This window comes from Homo sapiens, chromosome 7 (genome assembly GCF_000001405.40).
Source record: "Homo sapiens chromosome 7, GRCh38.p14 Primary Assembly".
NCBI classification, from domain to species: Eukaryota; Metazoa; Chordata; class Mammalia; order Primates; family Hominidae; genus Homo; species Homo sapiens.
In genome coordinates this window covers 7587111-7609645 of record NC_000007.14, presented here as the reverse complement: position 1 = coordinate 7609645, position 22535 = coordinate 7587111, and the positions used below count along the sequence as shown (strand labels likewise).

The window sequence follows — 22535 nt, the reverse complement described above, 5'->3', positions numbered from 1 at the left end:
AATGAAGGTAACAATGACTGCTAATCACTACCATTTATAGAGCACCATGTGACAGGGATATGGCACTTCATGTTTATTGCATCACCTAATACTCCCACACTCTGAGGTAGGTATTTCTGTATCTTTCTTTTAACATATGAAGAAACTGAAGCTCAAAAAGGTCAAGTCACTTACCGAAGATCCCGAGGCTAGGATTATAATTTATGTTTCAAAGACCATGCTTTAACTACTTGCAGTCAAATGAATGACTGAAATTGAGTCATCTAATTAAATGAAGAACTACATTCTTTTAAATACTTACTATGTGAAGCATTGACAATGGGAAGCTACTTTTAAAATATACCATTTTAAAGGATAATAACTATTCTGGAAAGTGGGTTGAATTGAAAAACAGAGCCTAAAAGGAATGTTACTTCTAATATTAAGTATGAAGTCTGTCATCAAAAAAAGCACCAATATTACTTCACGTGGATTATTTGTAAAGGAATCATAATTTCTTGATTAGATACAATGACTTCAACCCAGATTTATTCAATCTTTTAAAAATAATAAAAACACTTTTAATAAACACATCTATTGATCATGTTTAGGTAAAGTATCTTGTTGAGTTTATAAACCCAAATACCAGTGACTTAGTGATAAAAATGAGAAAATAATTTGATTGTCCATGCACACTGAAATGCAAAACAGACACCAGAGACATAAACTGCATGTTTGGGCTTCACAGAAAACATTTAAGAGGTTGACACATACATACAATCTTAAAAATGTCACCCTCATATATTAGGATTACAAATAAGCATATTACATAATAGACTTTACATTCATGTTTTATACTGTATTTCCAAAACTTGTAACTATTTGAGATAATTTTACATTTTACTTTAGCTAATGAGAATGAAAATGCATATGAGTCTGACATTACTTAAAGCTGACTTTCATATTTAAGACAGTAAGTTTGAAAGGAACACTTCAAATGAAATATTAAAGGTAAAGGGTATATGTTAATAAAATGAAATCAATTAAGATTTACTCAAATGAAGGCTGGAAAAAGTACCCTTAATAGCAATCTTTAAAAAAAAATTGCAATTACCATGTCTTTCATTTGAAAAGACTGTCATGCAGGTGAGACATTTAGAGTAAATATGTACTACTTCCAATGTTTTCCTAGAAAAGGGTTTTATGTATCAGACACTCAAGGTAAAAAATAAATTTAATCTACTTTTAATATTTAGGTTACACCTCAAACTAATCTGACAAATCTTAGTTTTTATAAGGCAAAACTGCTAATACGAAAGCTCTTAAAATTCTTGTTTTATTTCTCCAAAATCTATAAAATAAGATTTACTCTTTATGAACACAGCTTCAACTACAAAATTCCTAGTTCAGTCCCTCTGCATATGGCAGATGACAGAGAAGCATCTTGTAAATTCTTTGTATTTCTCTTACAACTATCTAGCTATGAAATGAGAAAAAAAAATGTTTTAAATAAAGTACCTGACTTAGCCCCAGTAACACTTACATTTAAAAACTTACATCTAAAATGGTCTCTGAAGTGACCCCATTTCCCCAACACTTCCTAGTCTACCTTGGAAAGAACAAGGTATGGTATTCCAAATCAGGACGGAATTTGACAGCACAGAAACACTGACATAGATTATACTAAATGGCTAGTTACATATAATCTTGCATAGACTTTGTATGCAGTAAAATGTTCTCAGGTGATGAGGATAAGATGACAAATTAATATGGAGAAAAACCTTTGAAGACAAATCAGGACATTGGAAGGCAAAAGGTAGAAAGTGAAAATTTTGTATGTTCACCTGAAATGGTACATGTTTTTCTCTACTGAAGAGAAAAAGTTGTAAGATAGATTCTTCATCTTGGCTTTTCTAGGAAGACGATAATGTTATGCCAAAAGATTGCTTATCTTAAAATCAAAGGAGGGAAAAGGCTCCTTTAAAAAATACATATTTATACATACACACATAAATATACACACACACATAGACACATATATAACAGACAGTAATAAAAAATATTCTCCAGTGTGGGATAGGGGCTCTGCAATTCTAAAAGTAAAAATCTGTAATTTTAAATTAATCTGAAAGAAATCTAAGCACAGCTGAACTTAAAACTATTGTCTGAATCACAGAATTAGTCATTTTATTTTAAAAGTGCACATATTTTATTGAAAGATATCCAGTTTCAGCTTTGAAGATATAGGCTCAAAGTCTGTTCTTGGCTCTTCCAGAAATTCTGCTTCTAGAGTGTTCATAATTTCAACCAAAACTTAGAAAGTTTTTCTAAATCAGACTTTTCAACCTGCTGAACAGAACTCATGTCTATACTTCGATGTTTATTTTGGCAGCATTTGTCTCTGTGAAGCATATCAAAATCACTCAAACATCAAAACTGCTGATCTGATAGAATGATTTATTTTCCCATTACAGGTAAGTCATGAATGGCTTGTTCTGAGGTATGTTTCTGAGCTATGAAGGACACCTACTAGAAAGCTCCACACTTGAAGGGTTCTCTTAAGGTGGTAACATTTTATGGCTGGACAGTCTCTGCAGGTACCAGATTCCCTGTTGTATCCAACTGCATACATTTACACGTGCATGCCGACACAGGGCACTCTGCATGGTCCCTAAAAAAATAGGTCAAATAACAGTTAAAAATCCAAATTAGACAGACATACATTTATTTATTTATTTATTTTTTAAGAGACAGGGTCTCCCTATATTTCCCAGGCTGTACGCACACTTTTGGGCTCAAGTGATCCTCCTGCCTCAGCCTCCTGAGTAGCTGGGACTACAGGTGTGCACCACTGTGCCCACCTGTTTACTTATATCTATCTATAATGCAACTTTTCAAAATGGCATTTGGAAAAATATAGAAACTAAAACCCAGAGAAAAAAAGCATCAAAAGCATCAAATTATAAACTACTGCCAAGCTGAAGTTTAGGGAGAAGTTAAGAAACACATACCTTTTACTTTCTACATATATGGCAAGATATTTCATTTATAGTTGTGAAGGTGACAGGGATGTGCTCAGAGTTTAAATTAGCTAGTAAGACAAACTGGGTATAAATGCTGTATCAACCAGGAGCACAGGGCCACTGGCACCATTCAAAATGAAATTCAAATATGTCTTGACAGTCTTAATTGCGTGACTACATAAAAAGCTTACTTAGAAGAGAACTGAGGCAGAGGTATGATATGCTCTTTTAACATTTCATTAGTAATTCAATTGCATGGTAAATTACAGAATATTCAGTGTAAAAACTGTAAACATATCCTCTCCCCGAATAAAGTTAAATAATGTTATTCAAACATTTAACTCATACAAAACATTTAAATTAGTTCTTACATAAGTATTACCTTTATAGTTTAAGGTTACATAGGATATCTAATCACGACATGTTCACACCACCTTTGTTAACATGAGTGACAGTAAAAAATAAAATTCATACTTTGGCTAAATGCTAATAGATAAACCCAAACTATTTAGAAGCAATCTGTGTTATCCCCCATAACTCCAAGCCTATCAAAGAAGAAATGTGCTGATTACCTGAACCAACTAAGCATATGTCCAGCATGTCCACCGTGCCTGCAATTATGACACCATGTAAACCAGTTGTTAAATTGGGCTAATTTTTTGTCCTTGCTCAAGTCCACTTTTTCATCTGATTTGGTTCCTCCTATGACAAAATAAAATGATCTTCATTAACTATATCATAATATTTTATTTAAAGTTACTTTCAAAAAGCATTTCTAAAACTGTGTTCCAAATATGAATCACACATCATATTGAAATAGCAATTTTGATGGTAGGTTCTAGTTTAGATGAAGCGAAACTGAATGACAGAAGCTCCCCTACATTTTTAATAGCCAATATAAAAATGGAAAAAAAAATCCAAACCCACTAAGAAACAATCTAAATTTAAAACTTTGGAGAGACCAAATCAGTAGTTTAAAATCTTTCCACAAGGAAAATACCAGGCCCAGTTTACAAGTGAATTTTACTTAACATTCAAGGAACAGGTAGGGCTGGGTGTGATGGCTCATGCCTGTAATCCCAGCACTTTGGGAGGCTGAGGCGGGCAGACCACTTGAGGCTAGGAGTTCACGACCAGTCTGGCCAACATGGTGAAACTCCGTCTCTGTTAAAAATACAAAAATTGGCCGGGGGTGGTGACACATGCCTGTAGTCCCACCTACTTGGGAGGCTGAGGCACAAGAATTGCTTAAATCTGGGGATTGGAGGCTGCAGGGAGCCGAGATTGCACTGCTGCACTCCAGGCTGGGTGATGGAGCAAGACTTTGTCTCAAAAAAAAAAAAAAATCTATCAAGGGACAGGTAATTCTCATCTGTACAAGCCCTTTCAAAGAAGAGAAAAAGCAGAAAGTTTCCCAATGCACTTCATGAGACTTGTGTAACTTAAACAATTGCTTAATTAGACTTAATATTTTTACTTAATTGCTATCTATAAAGACATTATGCATCGATAACTATGTTAAAAATTTTGCTTGGACCATTGCAGGTCACGCTTTCATGACCAAAAGGATAATCTTGCAGTCGGGAATAGTTTTAAAAAATATCCGTTTTTGCTAATGATATGAGGTGAAAGGATGTGTAAGTAATTCAATGATTAAAGATGTAAACACACTAGAATTACTCCTGAAAGGGTCACCAACAATTAATAATGAGAGGGCAAAAAGGAAAGGGGGAAGAGATAAATAAAATATAGATCTGATATGTACACTACTTTACACCTTTGTGTAAAGCTCTCATTAGTGCTTGTCACTTTGTTTTTGTAACTTCTAACATAAACAGATAACAGACTGAATCAGAACAAGGCATATCCTTATATTTTTCTGACGAAACTGGAAGTATTAAGGTCTATCTCACTGCCAAGTATAAAGGCTTAAGATCAAATGACTTCAAATTTTAAAAGATTTATAGTGAATTATGAAGACAAGTGCCACAGAACACTTTAGGCGAAACTAGAGTTTCACTTATGCATTAACTCATAATGTAAGAAGAAAATGAAGGAAACCAGTAGATAATCTAACTTTTAAAAAATGTGTCATTGTCCAGAAGTTAAATTCTGTAAGGGCAGCGATTTTTGTCTTCTTTACTGTAACATTTCTAGCACTTGGAACAATAGGTACCAAATAAACATTTGTTGAATAAATAATATTTATAATGTTTATAATGATGTTAGAACTGTTTCAACAGATTTCTAATCTTCAAAGCACAATTGAGTATAAAAATATCAACTCTCAGTTAAATAAGCTTATAGAAATTCCAGCTATTTGAATCACAAAGCATGATGGATGGATGCAATCTCTGATTGCAGGCAAAGCACCAGGGAGGTTTAGATACTCGAGCCACTAGCCAGCACTTTATTTTTTTTTAAATTTTATTATTATTAAAGTTTTAGGGTACATGTGCACAACGTGCAGGTTTGTTATATATGTATACATGTGCCATGTTGGTGTGCTCCACCCATTAACTCGTCATTTAGCATTAGGTATATCTCCTAATGCTATCCCTCCCCCTTCCCCGCACCCCACAACAGTCCCCGATGTGTAATGTTCCCCTTACTGTGTCCATGTGTTCTCAAATTGTTCAATTCCCGCCTGTCAGTGAGAACATGCGGTGTTTGGATTTTTGTCCTTGCGATAGTTTGCTGAGAATGATGGTTTCCAGCTTCATCCATGTCCCTACAAAGGACATGAACTCATCATTTTTTATGGCTGCATAGTATTCCATGGTGTATATGTGCCACATTTTCTTAATCCAGTCTATCATTGTTGGATATCTGGCTTGGTTCCAAGTCTTTGCTATTGTGAATAGTGCTGCAATAAACATACGTGTGCATGTGTCTTTATAGCAGCATGATTTATAATCCTTTGGGTATATACCCAGTAATAGAATGGCTGGGTCAAATGGTATTTCTAGTTCTAGATCCCTGAGGAATCGCCACACTGACTTCCACAATGGTTGAACTAGTTTACAGTCCCACCAACAGTGTAAAAGTGTTCCTATTTCTTCACATCCTCTCCAACACCTGTTGTTTCCTGACTTTTTAATGATCGCCATTCTAACTGGTGTGAGATGGTATCTCATTGTGGTTTTGATTTGCATTTCTCTGATGGCCAGTGATGATGAACATTTTTTCACGTGTTTTTTGGCTGCATAAATGTCTTCTTTTGAGAAGTGTCTGTTCATATCCTTTGCCCAGTTTTTGATGGGGTTGTTTTTTTCTTGTAAATTTGTTTCAGTTCATTGTAGCTTCTGGATATTAGCCCTTTGTCAGATGAGTAGGTTGCAAAAATTTTCTCCCATTTTGTAGGTTGCCTGTTCACTCTGATGGTAGTTTCTTTTGCTGTGCAGAAGCTCTTTAGTTTAATTAGATCCCATTTGTCAATTTTGGCTTTTGTTGCCATTGCTTTTGGTGTTTTAGACATGAAGTCCTTGCCCATGCCTATGTCCTGAATGGTATTGCCTTTCTTCTAGGGTTTTTACGGTTTTAGGTCTAACGTTTAAGTCTTTAATCCATCTTGAATTAATTTTTGTATAAGGTGTAAGGAAGGGATCCAGTTTCAGCTTTCTACATATGGCTAGCCAGTTTTCCCAGCACCATTTATTAAATAGGGAATCCTTTCCCCATTGCTTGTTTTTCTCAGGTTTGTCAAAGATCAGATGGTTGTAGATAGGTGGCATTATTTCTGAGGGCTCTGTTCCGTTCCATTGGTCTATATCTCTGTTTTGGTACCAGTACCATGCTGTTTTGGTTACTGTAGCCTTGTAGTATAGTTTGAAGTCAGGTAGTGTGATGCCTCCGGCTTTGTTCTTTTGGCTTGGGATTGACTTGGCAATGCGGGCTCTTTTTTGGTTCCATATGAACTTTAGTTTTTTTCAATTCTGTGAAGAAAGTCATTGGTAGCTTGATGGGGATGGCACTGAATCTATAAATTACCTTGGGCAGTATGGCCATTTTCATGATATTGATTCTTCCCACCCATGAGCATGGAATGTTCTTCCATTTGTTTGTATCCTCTTTTATTTCCTTGAGCAGTAGTTTGTAGTTCTCCTTGAAGAGGTCCTTCACATCCCTTGTAAGTTGGATTCCTAGGTATTTTATTCTCTTTGAAGCAATTGTGAATGGGAGTTCACTCATGATTTGGCTCTCTGTTTGTCTGTTATTGGTGTATAAGAATGCTTGTGATTTCTGCACATTGATTTTGTATCCTGAGACTTTGCTGAAGTTGCTTATCAGCTTAAGGAGATTTTGGGCTGAGACAATGGGGATTTCTAGGTATACAATCATGTCATCTGCAAACAGGGACAATTTGACTTCCTCTTTTCCTAAATGAATGCCCTTTATTTCCTTCTCCTGTCTGATTGCCCTGGCCAGAACTTCCAACACTATGTTGAATAGGAGTGGTGAGAGAGGGCATCCCTGTCTTGTGCCAGTTTTCAAAGGGAATGCTTCCAGTTTTTTGTCCATTCAGTATGATATTGGCTGTGGGTGTGTCATAGATAGCTCTTATTATTTCGTGATACATCCCATCAATACCTAATTTATTGAGAGTTTTTAGCATGAAGGGTTGTTGAATTTTGTCAAAGGCCTTTTCTGCATCTATTGAGATAATCATGTGGTTTTTGTCTTTGGTTCTGTTTATGTGCTGGATTACATTTATTGATTTTCGTATGTTGAACCAGCCTTGCATCCCAGGGATGAAGCCCACTTGATCATGGTGGATAAGCTTTTTGATGTGTTGCTGGATTTGGTTTGCCAGTATTTTATTGAGGATTTTTGCATCAATGTTCATCAAGGATATTGGCCTAAAATTCTCTTTTTTTGTTGTGTCTCTGCCAGTCTTTGGTATCAGGATGATGCTGGCCTCATAAAATGAGTTGGGGAGGATTCCCTCTTTTTCTATTGATTGGAATAGTTTCAGAAGGAATGGTACCAGCTCCTCCTTGTACCTCTGGTAGAGTTCGGCTGTGAATCCATCTGGTCCTGGACTTTTTTTGGTTGGTAAGCTATTAAGGATTGCCTCAATTTCAGATCCTGTTATTGGTCTATTCAGAGATTCAACTTCTTCCTGGTTTAGTCTTGGGAGGGTGTATGTGTCCAGGAATTTATCCATTTCTTCTAGATTTTCTAGTTTATTTGCATAGAGGTGTTTATGGTATTCTCTGATGGTAGTTTGTATTTCTGTGGGATCGGTGGTGATATCCCCTTTGTCATTTTTTATTGCGTCTATTTGATTTTTCTCTCTTTTCTTCTTTATTAGTCTTGCTAGCAGTCTATCAATTTTGTTGATCTTTTCAAAAAAAAAACCAGCTCCTGGATTCATTGATTTTTTGAAGGGTCTTTTGTGTCTCTATTTCCTTCAGTTCTGCTCTGATCTTAGTTATTTCTTGCCTTTTGCTAGCTTTTCAATGTGTTTGCTCTTGCTTCTCTAGTTCTTTCAATTGTGATGTTAGGGTGTCAATTTTAGATCTTTCCTGCTTACTCTCGTGGGCATTTAGTGCTATAAATTTCCCTCTAAACACTGCTTTGAATGTGTCCCAGAGATTCTGGTATGTTGTGTCTTTGTTCTCGTTGGTTTCAAAGAACATCTTTATTTCTGCCTTCATTTCGTTATGTACCCAGTAGTCATTCAGGAGCACGTTGTTCAGTTTCCATGTAGTTGAGCGGTTTGGAGTGAATGTCTTAATCCTGAGTTCTAGTTTGATTGCACTGTGGTCTGAGAGACAGTTTGTTATAATTTCTGTTCTTTTACATTTGCTGAGGAGTGCTTTACTTCCAACTATGTGGTCAATTTTGGAAAAGGTGTGGTGTGGTGCTGAAAAGAATGTATATGCTGTTGATTTGGGGTGGAGAGTTCTGTAGATGTCTATTAGGTCCGCTTGGTGCAGAGCGGAGTTCAATTCCTGGATATCCTTGTTCACTTTCTGCCTCGTTGATCTGTCTAATGTTGACAGTGGGGTGTTAAAGTCTCCCATTATTATTGTGTGGGAGTCTAAGTCTCTTTGTAGGTCACTAAGGACTTGCTTTATGAATCTGGGTGCTCCTGTATTGGGTGCATATATATTTAGGATAGTTAGTTCTTCGTGTTGAACTGATCCCTTTACCATTATGTAATGGCCTTGTCTCTTTTGATCTTTGTTGGTTTAAACTCTGTTTTATCTGAGATCAGGATTGCAACGCCTGCCTTTTTTTGTTTTCCATTTGCTTGGTAGATCTTCCTCCATCCCTTTATTTTGAGCCTATGTGTGTCTCTGCACGTGAGACGGGTTTCCTGAATACAGCACACTGATGGGTCTTGACTCTTTATCCAATTATCCAGCACTTGATTTCTATTAGATCCTGTTTTACTTTGGAAATGGACTTTTCTGATTTCACATGCCAAAAAAAAATAATTTGCTTCTTTTTCTTTTTTTTAAACTTTTACTTTAGTTTCAGGGGTACATGTGCAGGTTTGTTATACAGGTAAATTGCGTGTCATGGGGGTTTTGGTGTACGGATTATTTCATCATCCAGGTAATAAACATAGTACCCGACAGGTAGTTTTTCGATCCTCCTCCCACCTAGCACCCTCCAGTAAGCCCTGGTGTCTGTTATTCCTTCTTTATGACCATATGTTCTCAATGTTTAGCTCCTACTTATAACATGTGGTATTTGGTTTTCTGTTCCTGTGTTAGTTTGCTTAGGATAATGGCCTCCAGCTCTATCCATGCTGCTGCAAAAGACATGGCTGCATAGTATTCTATGCTGTGTATGTACCACATTTCTTTATCCAGTCCACCACTGATGGGCATTGAAGTTGATTTTATGTCTTTGCTATTATAAAGAGTGATTATTCTCTAACTTAGCTCAGCAATGCCTTTAAAGATCATATTCAGGCTCTCCCTAATTTTCCTACTGTTTCTTATCAGTTCACTTCCTAGGTCCTTTCACAACAATACACTTGCTCTTCCCAAACACCCCCTGTACTTATCATAATACTTACCAATCTCTTCACCCTAGTTCATGTTTTTTACACTTGGTCTGCAACCTGGACGGCTTCCCTGCAATCTTCATATATTAAATCTACCAAACTTTAAAGGACTGGCTTAAATGGTAACTTCCTCCTAAAGCTTTCCAGATATCCTTCAGATAGAAGTAATATTTCCCACTTTCAAAATTCCTAATTCTTTCCTTATATAATAGTCCTAATTCATGTTGGGGGTTTAGATGTGTTTCAGAATCCAGGATGTTTGGGATTTTAGAAAAAAGTAGCAAATATGTACACCTTGAGGGAAGTCTAAAGCACCCTGTAATCAAACTCGTTAGTATTTCTGTAGTGAAAGATGAATATTCACTAATAAATAAGAGAAATAAATATCTTAATAGCCTCACATCAATTCTGAACAGGTTTTGTGGTCAAATGAGATTACCGTAATTTTATTTTTAAAAGGCATTGGATTTTCAGATCTTTTTAGAGACTTTGAAATGACAGATAAGGCATTGTAGACCAGTATTTATTTTCTAGAAAATATCACTTATTTTATATTCGTTAACTATGCTTATTGCACACCAAGAGCTCCAAGAGGTTCTTTGATTTATTCATCTCAGCACATCAGCATTATATTAATGTATCAAGTAAAATCAGTGTTCAAATATGTATTATATATATAAAGAAATTATTTCTGTAGCAAATATGGAAAAAAATTCTATAACAAATATGGAAAAATGTTAATATTTGATAAACCTGAGTGCTATTCGTTATATTAGTCATCATAACAAAGAATTTCAAATGTTTTAAGATTTTTCTTCAAATTCTAGAAAATTATTTTCTTTTCTTACCTATTTCAAAAATAGAAAAGATTGAAAAACTGGTATTCAGCAAAAAGGAAGAGTGCCCAGGTGTAAGAATGCAAATAATCCTTATAGCTTCCTGAGGCTTATGGTCCAAAAGATGTGTTACATTTAATTATTTCTATATATCTCAGTTCATACACATATATGTCTTATTTATGCTATATTTTACCTCGAGCTCTCATTGTTGTAGATATTCCAAATTGTTATTTTCTGTTTATTAGGACCAGAGTTAACATAAAACAGTGATCAGTATGTAATGTATAAAATAAAAATCCTTGATTAAAATTTAAATCAAAACTAAAATGTACATTTAAAACATTACATATTCTCTTCATTTCTTTAAAAAAAGCATCTAGATGGAAAAATAATCGCTAAGCCAATGATACCAGCAAGTCTTTCATAAATGTTAATGTAATGATAAAGCAGACTACTTAAATGAACACGATACAGAATAGAATTATAAAATGTCTGCACTAGAAAGGATCTCCAGTCCAGAGGAAGGTGCAAGTAACTCTCAGTGTCACAGACTGCATGTCACAGAGTTAGAATTAAAACAGACATTCTGACACTCTAACCAGTTCTTTATTCATTACACCTGTGTGCCAAATACCCAAAATGATTTTAATTGAAAATTGTGCCACAGTATCATTTTCAAGTTAGGTAAAGAGCTGGAATAATTCCAGCCACCAGGTATAAGATATTTAATTATCTACTATTCTCAAAATTTTTTCCCATATGTTTACTATAAAGAATAAAAAATAATCTTAATATTTCTAACCATTAAAAAATATAGGCTGGGCATGGTGGCTCATGCCTGTAATCCCAGCACTTTGGGAAGCTGAGGCAGGTGGATCGCTTGAGTTCAGGAGTTCAAGACCAGCCAGGGCAACAGGGTGAAACCCTATGGTCCCAGCTACTTGGGAGGCTGAGGTGGGAGGATCACCTGAGCCCAGGAGGCAGGAGGCAGTAGGCAGAGGTTGCCGTGAGCCGAGATCATGCCACTGCATTCTATCCTGGGTGACAGAGTGAGATCCTGTCTCAAAAAACAAAACAAACAAACAAACAAAAACGAACACTGTGTGTGTGTGTATATGTATATATTCCAAATTGTTATTTTCTGTTTATTAGGACCAGAGTAACATAAAAGAGTGGTCAGTATGCAATGTATAAAATAAAAATCCTTGATTAAAATTTAAATCAAAACTAAAATGTACATTTAAAACATTACGTATTGCCTTCATATATATATATATATATATATATATATATATATATATATATATATATAAATTTACTAGGTAACTGACAAACAGCAGAAGCAGCATCAAAATCTAGAAGTCAAGGGACCTGACTTCTAGGCTAATACTTTCTCTATGTATTTTCTTATTTATTATTATTTTTTAATTAAAAACATTTTTTTTTTTTAAATTTAGGACAGAGTCTTGCTCTGTCGCCCAGGCTGGAGTGCAGTGGCATGATCTTGGCTCACTGCAACCTCTGCCTCCCGGGTTCAAGCAATTCTCCTGCCTCAGCCTCCCAAGCAGCTGGGACTACAGGTGTGTGCCACCACGCCCGGCTAATTTTTTGTATTTTTAGTAGAGACGAGGTTTCACGATGTTTGCCAGGATGGTCTTGATCTTCTGACCTTGTGATCTGCCAGCCTCGGCCACCCAAAGTGTTGGGATTACAGGCGTGAGCCACCATGTCCGGCCAAAAAAATTTTTTATAGAGATGGGGTCTCACTATTTTGCTCAGGCTGGTCTCAAACTCCCAGGCTCAAGTAATCCTTCCACCCTGGCCTCTCAAAGAGCTGGGATTACAGGCATGAGCCACTGCAACTGACCCTTCTCTCATGTATTTTATAGGTAGGTTTTGAAGATGAAGGAAGAAATGTCAAAGTGCTTTAATGATGTCAAAAGATCCTTAGAAATACAAAGTATCTGTTAATAGGTGCGGGTATACTGACTTTTAAATAATCAAATTTGAACGAACTCCTCTTAGTGGAAACAGTGATAAGAAAATGGTAATATATTAAGATTATTTCATATTTAAGTTTTTCTCACAAACTTTAAATTGGTCAGAACTTGTGAAATTACCTGAAGTATCAATAGATATAGATTTTGCTTTTAGTTTTCATAGTTCATAAATTATAGGAACATAAAAGCCTTCAAGCTAGTAAACTGCCCTTTCTTAGAAATAATAACTCTAGCTAGTTTGTATTTTATTTGCAACATTAACTCAATTATGTAAGAATCATTTCAGTTCATAAAAGTATTTTGTAAAATTATGTCATACCAGGACAGCTAGAAACTGGTGTTCCCATATTAATGAGACAAAGCGCACATCGAGGAAGTGGTTTTCGACAGCCAGGACAACTTGTGACTTTAGATTTCGTTGGTGAGCCACTCACACCATACTGACTAAAACCTCTGCCCTGATGAGGCACAGCTGAACAGCTGTAGGAGATTGACTTGCCACAGAAATTGCAACTCACAAAAACCTACAAAACAAATGAAAGAAAAAATAAATGTAATGCAAACCATAATGGAATGCTAAATAACTTAGTGTGCGCCTAACAAATTATTTTTAAATACTTTTAAAAAACTTTATTTTATATTTCAAAATTGATCTGCTAAGGTTGACTAGCTTTCATTTAAAATTTATACCTAGCAATTACATTTTTGGGGTACTTCCTTTTTAATTATATTCTTACTAATACCACTGAAATTGGTGGAAGAACTCAAACTTTAGACTCCAACATTTTAGAAATAACAATGACTTCAGAATTCACACTGGGCCATTACAAAATATCCCAATATGACTTCTAAACCACAGTTCAGTGATATAATCTTCTGAACAAAATTTTCTTATAAAGAAAACGCTGTTCCTAAGACAAAGAGAGTTAACAAACTTATAATGGTAAATAGTTAAATTTTTAGAATAATAGCAATAGAAGCTGTTCATTTTGTTTTTACCGTAAATTGCTAGGCTCTTAATCACTTATCATATAGATTAGTAACATGTACTACCATGTAATGCTATTTTATCAACACTCTGGTTTTAACATAAGCACTTTCTCAAGTTCCTAAAATAAGAAAATAGCACCATCCAGTGCTCATATTGAGGATAACATAATATTTAATATCTGAACTAAGACACAGTGATTTAATGTGGTATACCTTATGTGACAACAATCTCATTTTTTAAACTAATGCTAAAAAAAAATTTCCATGTGTAATTAAACATATAGATATAGGTAATACTGCTAAAGTCTAAAAAACCCAAATCCTGCCTTACTGCACATAAATAATGCTAAAAAACTTAATACACAAGTGGAATTTATAAGATAATGTAATAGTTTAGAATCTGAAAGGGCTGGAAATACACTGGAAAACTTCAGGCCTGCTGTGGTTTGTTCTATCTGCGACTAAAGCTCAAGCCACTGAGATGATTGTTAGCAAGAAGCAGAACCAAAGGACAGGAAGATCAAGGACAAAGTTCAGTCTACAAAAGACAAAGACATCAATGGGAACTCAATATAAGCAAAATAATGAGCTAATAGTAACTTATTAAATTGAACATCAACATGTTACAATTTGATTTTCTCCAAAACAATGTACTTACTTGTGCTAAAGGCTTGGAACTGGGATCCAACTTACTCCTGTGAATATCAAATTCAGCTCGTTTATGCCAAAACCTCCAGGCATCTAATAAATTTCTATAATTCTCAATCCAGTACTGAACCCTTTCATCTTTAAGAACATCTAAAGGTGAACCCTAAAACGAAAACATGAATTATTTCAATTGTTTAAAATCTCCTGGCTAGGCCAGAGACTTCTGGGTAGCATGTAAGTATGAGTAACACAGAAGAAATAGGCCTTTTTTTTTTTTTTTGCCAAAAGCTGGCTCCTAATGAGAATAAAGAAAATTTATGGAAGCTCCATTAATTTATCTCAAGCTGGGTTCCACTAATGACATAAATATGTACTTTATATATCATACCTGCCCAGGGAAGTCTAATTCTCTACCTTTTAGTTAAGTTTAAGAAAATAGAACTTCGTGGTTGAATGTTGTAAACAGTGATACGAATACCCTTTGTCCCAGCAATTAAAAACCTCTGGGTTCACAAACTCTGTTTACTATCAAATCCAAATGTAATACAGGCTGGGCGTGATGGCTCATGCCTGTAATCTCAGCACTTTGGAAGGCCGAGGTAGGCGGATCACTTGACGTCAGGAGTTCGAGACCAGCCTGGCCAACATGGTGAAACCCTGTCTCTAGTAAAAATACAAAAATTAGCCAGGTGTGGTGGCAGGCGCCTATAATCCTAGTTACTTGGGAGGTTGATGCCTGAACCGGGAGGCGGAAGTTGCAGTGAGCTGAGATTGTGCCGTTGCACTGTAGTCTGGGTGACAGAATGAGACTCCATTTAAAAAAAAAAAAAAGTCCAAATGCACACCAAAATTGCTCAGTCACATCTGAACTAACAGTTAGCTTGGTCCTTCCTATCTAGCAATGCACGGTGAACTGAGATGCTGCTTTTATATATCTACTTATCTGTAAGTTAAACCTGTCTATTCTTACTCTTGCCTTCAATTAAAACATACATTTCTTGCCTTAAAAATAATAACAGAACAAGAAAAAGCAAAACCAAACCAAATACCTTCTTAGTTCTTTTGCCCGTAGCCACAGTTAAAAGCAACACCTTGTTTTAGTTAAATTTACTTTAGAGTTCTTCTCATTAAGATCTTCAAGTTCTTGCCAGTAATAATTTTCCTAAAGTTGTATTTTCCCTGGCAGCTGTGACATTCCACATTTCATCTATGCTTGCTTTAGGTTTTCTTTTTTTCTTTTCTTTTTCTTTTTTTTTTTTTTTTGGAGACAGAGTCTCACTCTGTCGGCCAGGCTGGAGCGCAGTGGCACGATCTCGGCTCACTGCAACCTCTGCCTCCCGGGCTCAAGCAATTCTCCTGCTTGAGTAGCTGGGATTACAGGGGTGTGCCACCACCTAATTTTTGTATTTTTAGTAGAGATGGGGTTTCACCATGTTGGCCAGGCTGGTCTTGAACTCCTGACCTCAGGTAATCTGCCCACCTCGGCCTCCCAAAGTGCTGGGATTACACGCATGAGTCACCGTGCCCGGCCGCTTTAGGTTTTCTTAGAAGACTTTCAGCCCTGTCCAGGATATCTTCCTTAACTTTACATAATGGAGAAAGGAGAGAAAGTCTCTACTTCCAATGATGCTTTGGCATCAATCTGAAGGTTAGTTTTCTCAGTCCTACTTGAGGGCCAATAGAAAAGTGAAATTTCAGAGAGAACCTGGCGTATATCTTACTTATAAAAAAAAAGAACAAAAATCTGTAAGAGCTAATATAATCTTTAGACATCCAATCAAAAACTGAAGCAACATATCTTTCATCTATTAAATTCAGTGTTAATTACCAGAGTTAAATTTAGCTAAAAGAACATGTGAAACACATAGCTTACAATTTCATTTCTTAAAAAAGTAGAGGTCTACTCTAGCCCTAATTATGACCAAGTAGGCAGAACTAAGTACCAAAGTAGCATATAATCCCTGGTTTAAAAAGAAAATTCACAGAAAAATAAGATGTTTTCACATCTCATTCTTTCCCCTTATATGGCAAGAAGGGGATAAACTAAGTAAGAATTTGGTCAATACATATACAGTAAGTCTTCTCTAGATCCTCTCCAATAAAGCCTAAAATCAAGCCACAACATGATCTGTAATGAAAATAGTTCAGAGATTGAGTCTGACCAAATCAGAAGGGCTTGGGAAAATAGTGTTTTGATTAGTGAAGAGATAAGGAATCTGAACCGAGAAATGTAAACCAGGGGGCTCCAACCCCCAATATACCCCCAGGTCCACAGCCTGGTACAAACTGGGTCACACAGCAGGAGGTGAGTGACAGGGCAATAAGCAAAGCTTCATCTGTATTTACGGCTGCTCCCCATCCCTCACATTAGTGCCTGAGCTCTGCCTCCTGTCAGATCAGTGGTGGCATTAGATTCTCATAGGACAGTGAACCCTACTGTGAACTGCACATGTGAGGGATCTAGGCTGCATACTCCTTATGAGAATCTAATGCCTGATGATCTGTCAATGTCTCCCATCATCCCCAGATGGGACCATCTAGTTGCAGGAAAATAACCTCAGAGCTCCCACTGATTCTACATTATGGTGAGTTGTAGAATTATTTCATTATGTATTACAGTGCAATAATAATAGAAATAAAGTGCACAATAAATACAATGTGCTGGAATCATCCCTAAACCAACCCCCTGGTGCTAAAAAGTCCCTGGGGCAAAAAGGTTGGGGACTGCTAAAGTAAACTGTAACAAAGTTAAGATTCTGTAACTGAAAAGCACAATAACTGAAATGAACAATTCCCTGGGAAGTTTAACAGCAGACAGAGGTGATGGAATAAGTCAACAGAATCAACAAATCTGGGCCAGGCACAGCGGCTTGCGCCTGTAATCCCAGCACTTTGGGAGGCCGAGGCGGGCAGATCACTTGAGGACAGGCATTTAAGATCAGCATGGCCAACATAGTGAAACCATGTCCTACTAAAAATACAAAAAATTAGCCAGGTGTGGTGGCACATGCCTGTAATCCCAGCTACTCGGGAGGCTGAGGCATGAGAATCACTCGAATGCTTGAACCTGGGAGGTGGAGGTTGCAGTGAGCCAATATTGTGCCACTGCACTCCAGCCTGCGTGACACAGCAAGACTCTGTCTTAAAAAAAAAAAAAATTAACCAATTTGAAGAATAGTGGGAAAAAAAACATGGAAGGAAGAAGAATAGAGCCTCAGGCACCTACGAACACTATGAAGTGGTTTAATACATATGTAATAAGAGTCCTAGAAGAAAAACCGAATAAGATTGAGGCAGAAAAAAATATTTAAAGAAATAATATCCCCGTACTTCCCAAATCTGCTGAAAAACAGACTTCCAGATCCAAGAAGCTCAGTGAACCACAAACAGGATAAAATGAACCACAACCAGGTACATTAAGGTCATACTACTGAAAAATCAAAGGTAAAGGAAAAATCTTGGAAGAAACCCAAAAAGATTATCCTACATATAAATAATAGAAAACATTTTATTGATGGTTGCAAGGAAAACAAATTTACTTAAACATTAAAAATCAGAATTTAGGCTGGGCGTGGTGGCTCATGCCTGTAATCCTAACACTTTCGGAGGCCGGGGCGGGCAGATCACTTGAGGTCAGGAGTTTGAGACCAGCCTGGGCAACATGGTGAAACCCCATTTCTGTCAAAAATACAAAAAATTAGCCAGGAGTGGTGGCGTGAACCTGTGGTCCAGTTCCTTGGGAGGCTGAGGTGGGAGGATTGCTTGAGCCTGGAGGCTGCAATGAGCTGAGATCCACCCCAGCCTGGGTGAGAGAGCGAGACCCTGTCTCAAAAAAAAAAAAAAAACCCAACAAAAAATGAAACATCACAGACAGGGAGACAAGCATAAGAACAGCTGATTCTCATCAGAAACAACAGAGGCCAGAAGACAGTGAAACTACATCTTTAAAGTGTTGAAAGAAAAAATAAGAGTGAAATAGACATTTTCAGTTAAAATTTGAGAGAATCTGTCACCTATATTACAAGGAATGCTATAGGATTTACAGAAGGGAAAAAGAATGCCAGGAATGGTAAATAAGTGAATAAATATAAAAGCCCATGTTTTCTTTTCATAATTTACATAAAAGACAAATGACTGTTAAAAAAACACTGTAAGTTGGAGTATATAATATCTGTAAAAGTAAAATATATGACAATAGGACAAAGGAATGGATGTGTAAATGAAATCACACTGTTGTGACATTTGTGAAGCATGAAGTAAAACCCAGAAAGTGTCAGAGTGACATAAGAAAGGGTAAAGTAGAAAGAAAGCATGATGTGTCAGGTGAGAAATGTGAAGTATGAGGGGGTAAAATGTTGACTTTGATGAGTTGAGGGATGCATATTGTTAGATCTACAGCAACATCTTTTAAAAAAGATAATGAAAAGAGATATAGCTAAAAAGCCAATAGAGGCAATAAAATGAAACATGGAAATATTAACCCAAAATAAGGTAGGAAAGGAACATAGGAACAAAAGGAAAAAGGACAAACAAAACGGAAAACAAACAGCAAGATGGTAGACTTAACCATGACCATATAAATGTAAATGAAGGAAACACTCCAATTAAAGGCAGCAATTATCAGACTGGATTTTAAAAAAGCAAGATCTGTATTGTCTGCATTTTAAATATATTTTATAAATCTTGGTAAGAAGTTACTAACTCATTTGCACTCTGTAGCCATCTACAGCCATATACATACACTTTAATTTAAAAGACATAATTTTATCTCAACAAGAAAAAATGTTATAGAAGGGTACTTTTTCTTCCATGGGCAGTGGCTTGATACATTAGGTAAGTTTACTTTGTGGTCTGTGGGCTAGTGTCTCTATATATGCACAAGAAGGTGCAGTGGGAGAGGGGGCATTTTCCTGTGTTCACCCAGTACACAGTATGCTACCATATTGTGATATGAGGATGAGGGCAGGAAAGAGGAGGGTACCAACATCATGTAAGGATAAGATCAACTGGAGGGCTACAGGAAATCTCAGGAGAATACTCTAAATTTTACCATTATTTCCAGCAAAAGTAAAGTAGACAGCAATCTATGCCTGGAATCTGTTTTTAATCACTGGACAGTAAAAATTGAGAAAATATGGATAAATTGGTTACCCCAAATACCCCCAATGATAATAAAAAGAGAAAATGAAAGCTGAGAGCTGTGGTATAACTAGACTTCAGCACTTCAAGTAAGACTATAGTTGAGATCAGGAAAAGCCAATCTTTCTTGTAGAAGATGCAGTTATGTCAACAATTGGAGAAACTGAAGAGAGTTTCTCTATTCAATTTGAGCTTTACATAAATTCAGATGCAGTCAAGACTGGCCCTTCTCAGACTGAAAGGAAAAACTGGATAACTCAATGAAGAGGCTTAGGGACAGTAAGATAAGGCACAAGTCTTCAGTAGATCAACTGATTAGGTTAAAACTAAATGCCTTCTAAAGATCCTAAGCAAGCAAAAGTGCATATTTACTTTCAACTGAGGAAAGAAAATATAGAATATTGTTACTTTTTTAAAAGCTGCTGTCAAACTGCACTGACCTGTAACATACAGTAACTTGCTGTTTGAACATCTCCAGTTCTATCAACATAACTCTCCATTAAGTCCACTCCATCTTTAGTAAGGCCTGTAAGCAAAATTCCTTCCAAATTTCCAGCCTCTTTCATTTCATTGGTCAACTTTTCGATGTATCTATTTAACTGGAAAATTTAAAGTGATTTTTCTAAAGCAATCTGTTTCACTATGTATTTTGTACTTCAAAACTACATTTTGAACAATTTCATTCCTAATGGAAAACATTTTAAAACAAAAGACTTTACTAAAATATAAATATTTAACTAAGAAGTCTGCATCTATTACAAATTTCAAAGCAATATCCATAATCATTTAAAATATTTTAAAAAGGCATTTATTATGTTGATAATTAATCCATAAAAGAACTATAGATGGTTTATTATTTTAAAGATAATTGTCCTCATTATTCTGCGAAATTTTTGCTGTCTATCATAGTAGTATGTAACAGAATCACAAAATCTGGAGTTGGAAGGGAACTTTAAGATCATCAAGAATAACTTCCTTTAGGTCTTCCCTGACTTCAACCCACCCCAAACTCTTGCCAAGATTCCTCCATCTTTCCCCAGCATTTTTCATTATTATAGTACTTAGCATATAGTATTACTGGTTGTTTACATGCATTTCCCCCTCACTATATACACAGCATAGGCATTTAGCATTGTTTAATGTAGTAAAAATGAGGAACCCTTTCATAGCATCACTAAGAGGTGAGTTTAACATCTTTACCTACTAACTAATCTTACCCTCCAAAGAAGAAATATACTAAAATATTGTCAGTATTCTAAACAAATAAATTTAGTTATGGTAGACATTTTCAAAATATTTTTATCTAATAAATTCTTACCATACTTTTTAGAAGAATTAGCTTATCAATCTCATACATATGTAATTATAAAGACTAGTTTCTTACATAATTGTGACAGTACATATTAATTACTTCAAATGTGGAATTAAATCAGTTTTCACCTGAGTATCACTAAGGAATTTACAAGCAAATGCCACTCTGTCACGTACTGCAACTTTGTTTTCATACTGGAAAGAAGAGAAAAAGCAAGGAGTTACTTCTAGGCGCACTGGTTTTAAATTTTTGCAGAGACTGAATGTTTTATATAAATAAAATGAATATGTTTATTTCCAAATTTATTAATAAGTTATATTTATCTTGCAGAGCCATTAATTGCCTGAGATGCCTTTCTTGATGTAACTCTTAGGAAATTCAGCAATAAGGTTTTGTCCTTGCAAAGTAAAAATTTACCTTTTAAACACTAGCCAAATTCAGTTTTTAAAAATCCAGGTCAGTCTTACATAACATAAAACATAAGCAATGATGCACAGTATATCAAATTTAAGATGCCACATAATCTTTCCATCATAGAAATTAATTTTAGAGAACTAAGGAAATCTTTCCTTGGCTACTAAGTTAATCAGTAAGTCTAAGAAATTTGTGAATTGGCTACACCAGTACACAACTTAGAAGAATACCAATATACGTTTCCAAGTACAAAGTGACAAGTTTTAAAACATAAACAGACACACTCTTGTGGCTAAAGTTGTTATATAGGTGGTTTGTGGCAAAGATTTCAGAGGCATTATAATAACTAAAATTTTTGTAAACTCGTCAATATCATGAAACACTTTTGAAATATATTTACTACAAATGTAGGAAGGTACAATTAATTTTGTAATTTGTAAAAATAATTTAAGGGTGGAAAAAAGATCCAATTTCCACTGAAGTCATCCTATGAAAATTTTACTTTTTTAACCGTAAGATCACTTCAGTTGATACCTATATCTTAGCATATTTTTTCTATGATAAAATATGGTTTTGCCCTAAAGAGAGAACATATTTCATATAACTAGATTTAACTCTTAGATTCAGTTGCATATGTTACAAAATTTTGATCTGGAAAGAGTTATAAACATTATTCTGTCCCATTTTACATCTCGAGAAAGTAATACTCAAAAAAATTAACTGAATGGCTATGGTAAATGGGGCAGAGCAAGGAGTCAGGCCTGTATTTTCCGACTTCCCAATTCAGTACTTTTCACATTACTATTAACATTTTTTAAATAGCAACATTAATTATAATTATTTATACATAAAGTATAACTAAATACATAAATGAAACAGCTTGGAAATATGAACTTCGTACTCAAGATGACTGTTATCTAATAACTCAAATTTATGTATAGCAAAACAAGGATACTGGGGCAGGGCATGGCGGCTCACATCTGTAATCCCAGCACTTTGGGAGGCCAAGTCAGGTGGATCATTCAAGATCAGGAGTTCGAGACCAGAATTGATATTTCTGGCCAACATGAGGAAACCCCGTCTCTACTAAAAATACAAAAATTAGCCGGCATGGTGGTGCATGCCTGCAGTCTCAGCTACTTGGGAGGCTGAGGCACAAGAATCACT

The 22535-nt window shown here is 35.7% G+C and overlaps 1 protein-coding gene across 19 annotated transcripts in view; it reads right to left on the bottom strand.

The window, feature by feature from the left end:
- Positions 1-501: 501 nt before the first annotated feature.
- Positions 502-22535, bottom strand: part of MIOS (meiosis regulator for oocyte development) — a 42261-nt gene continuing 20227 nt past the window's right edge. For 13 of the 19 annotated variants that reach the window (NR_163250.1, XM_047420507.1, XM_047420510.1 and 10 more), the window contains 6 exons: positions 21083-21148; positions 20083-20241; positions 14514-14666; positions 13185-13389; positions 3575-3704; positions 502-2650 (listed from right to left, as the gene is read on the bottom strand). Coding sequence is in view for 18 of the 19 variants with exons in the window: in XM_047420507.1 (XP_047276463.1) it covers positions 2554-2650; positions 3575-3704; positions 13185-13389; positions 14514-14666; positions 20083-20241; positions 21083-21148 (810 nt within the window). In the remaining variant the exon portion in view is untranslated. The remainder of the gene's footprint in view (positions 2651-3574; positions 3705-13184; positions 13390-14513; positions 14667-20082; positions 20242-21082; positions 21149-22535) is intronic. The other 6 variants (XM_047420513.1, XM_047420516.1, XM_047420514.1 and 3 more) reach the window with 2 other exon arrangements.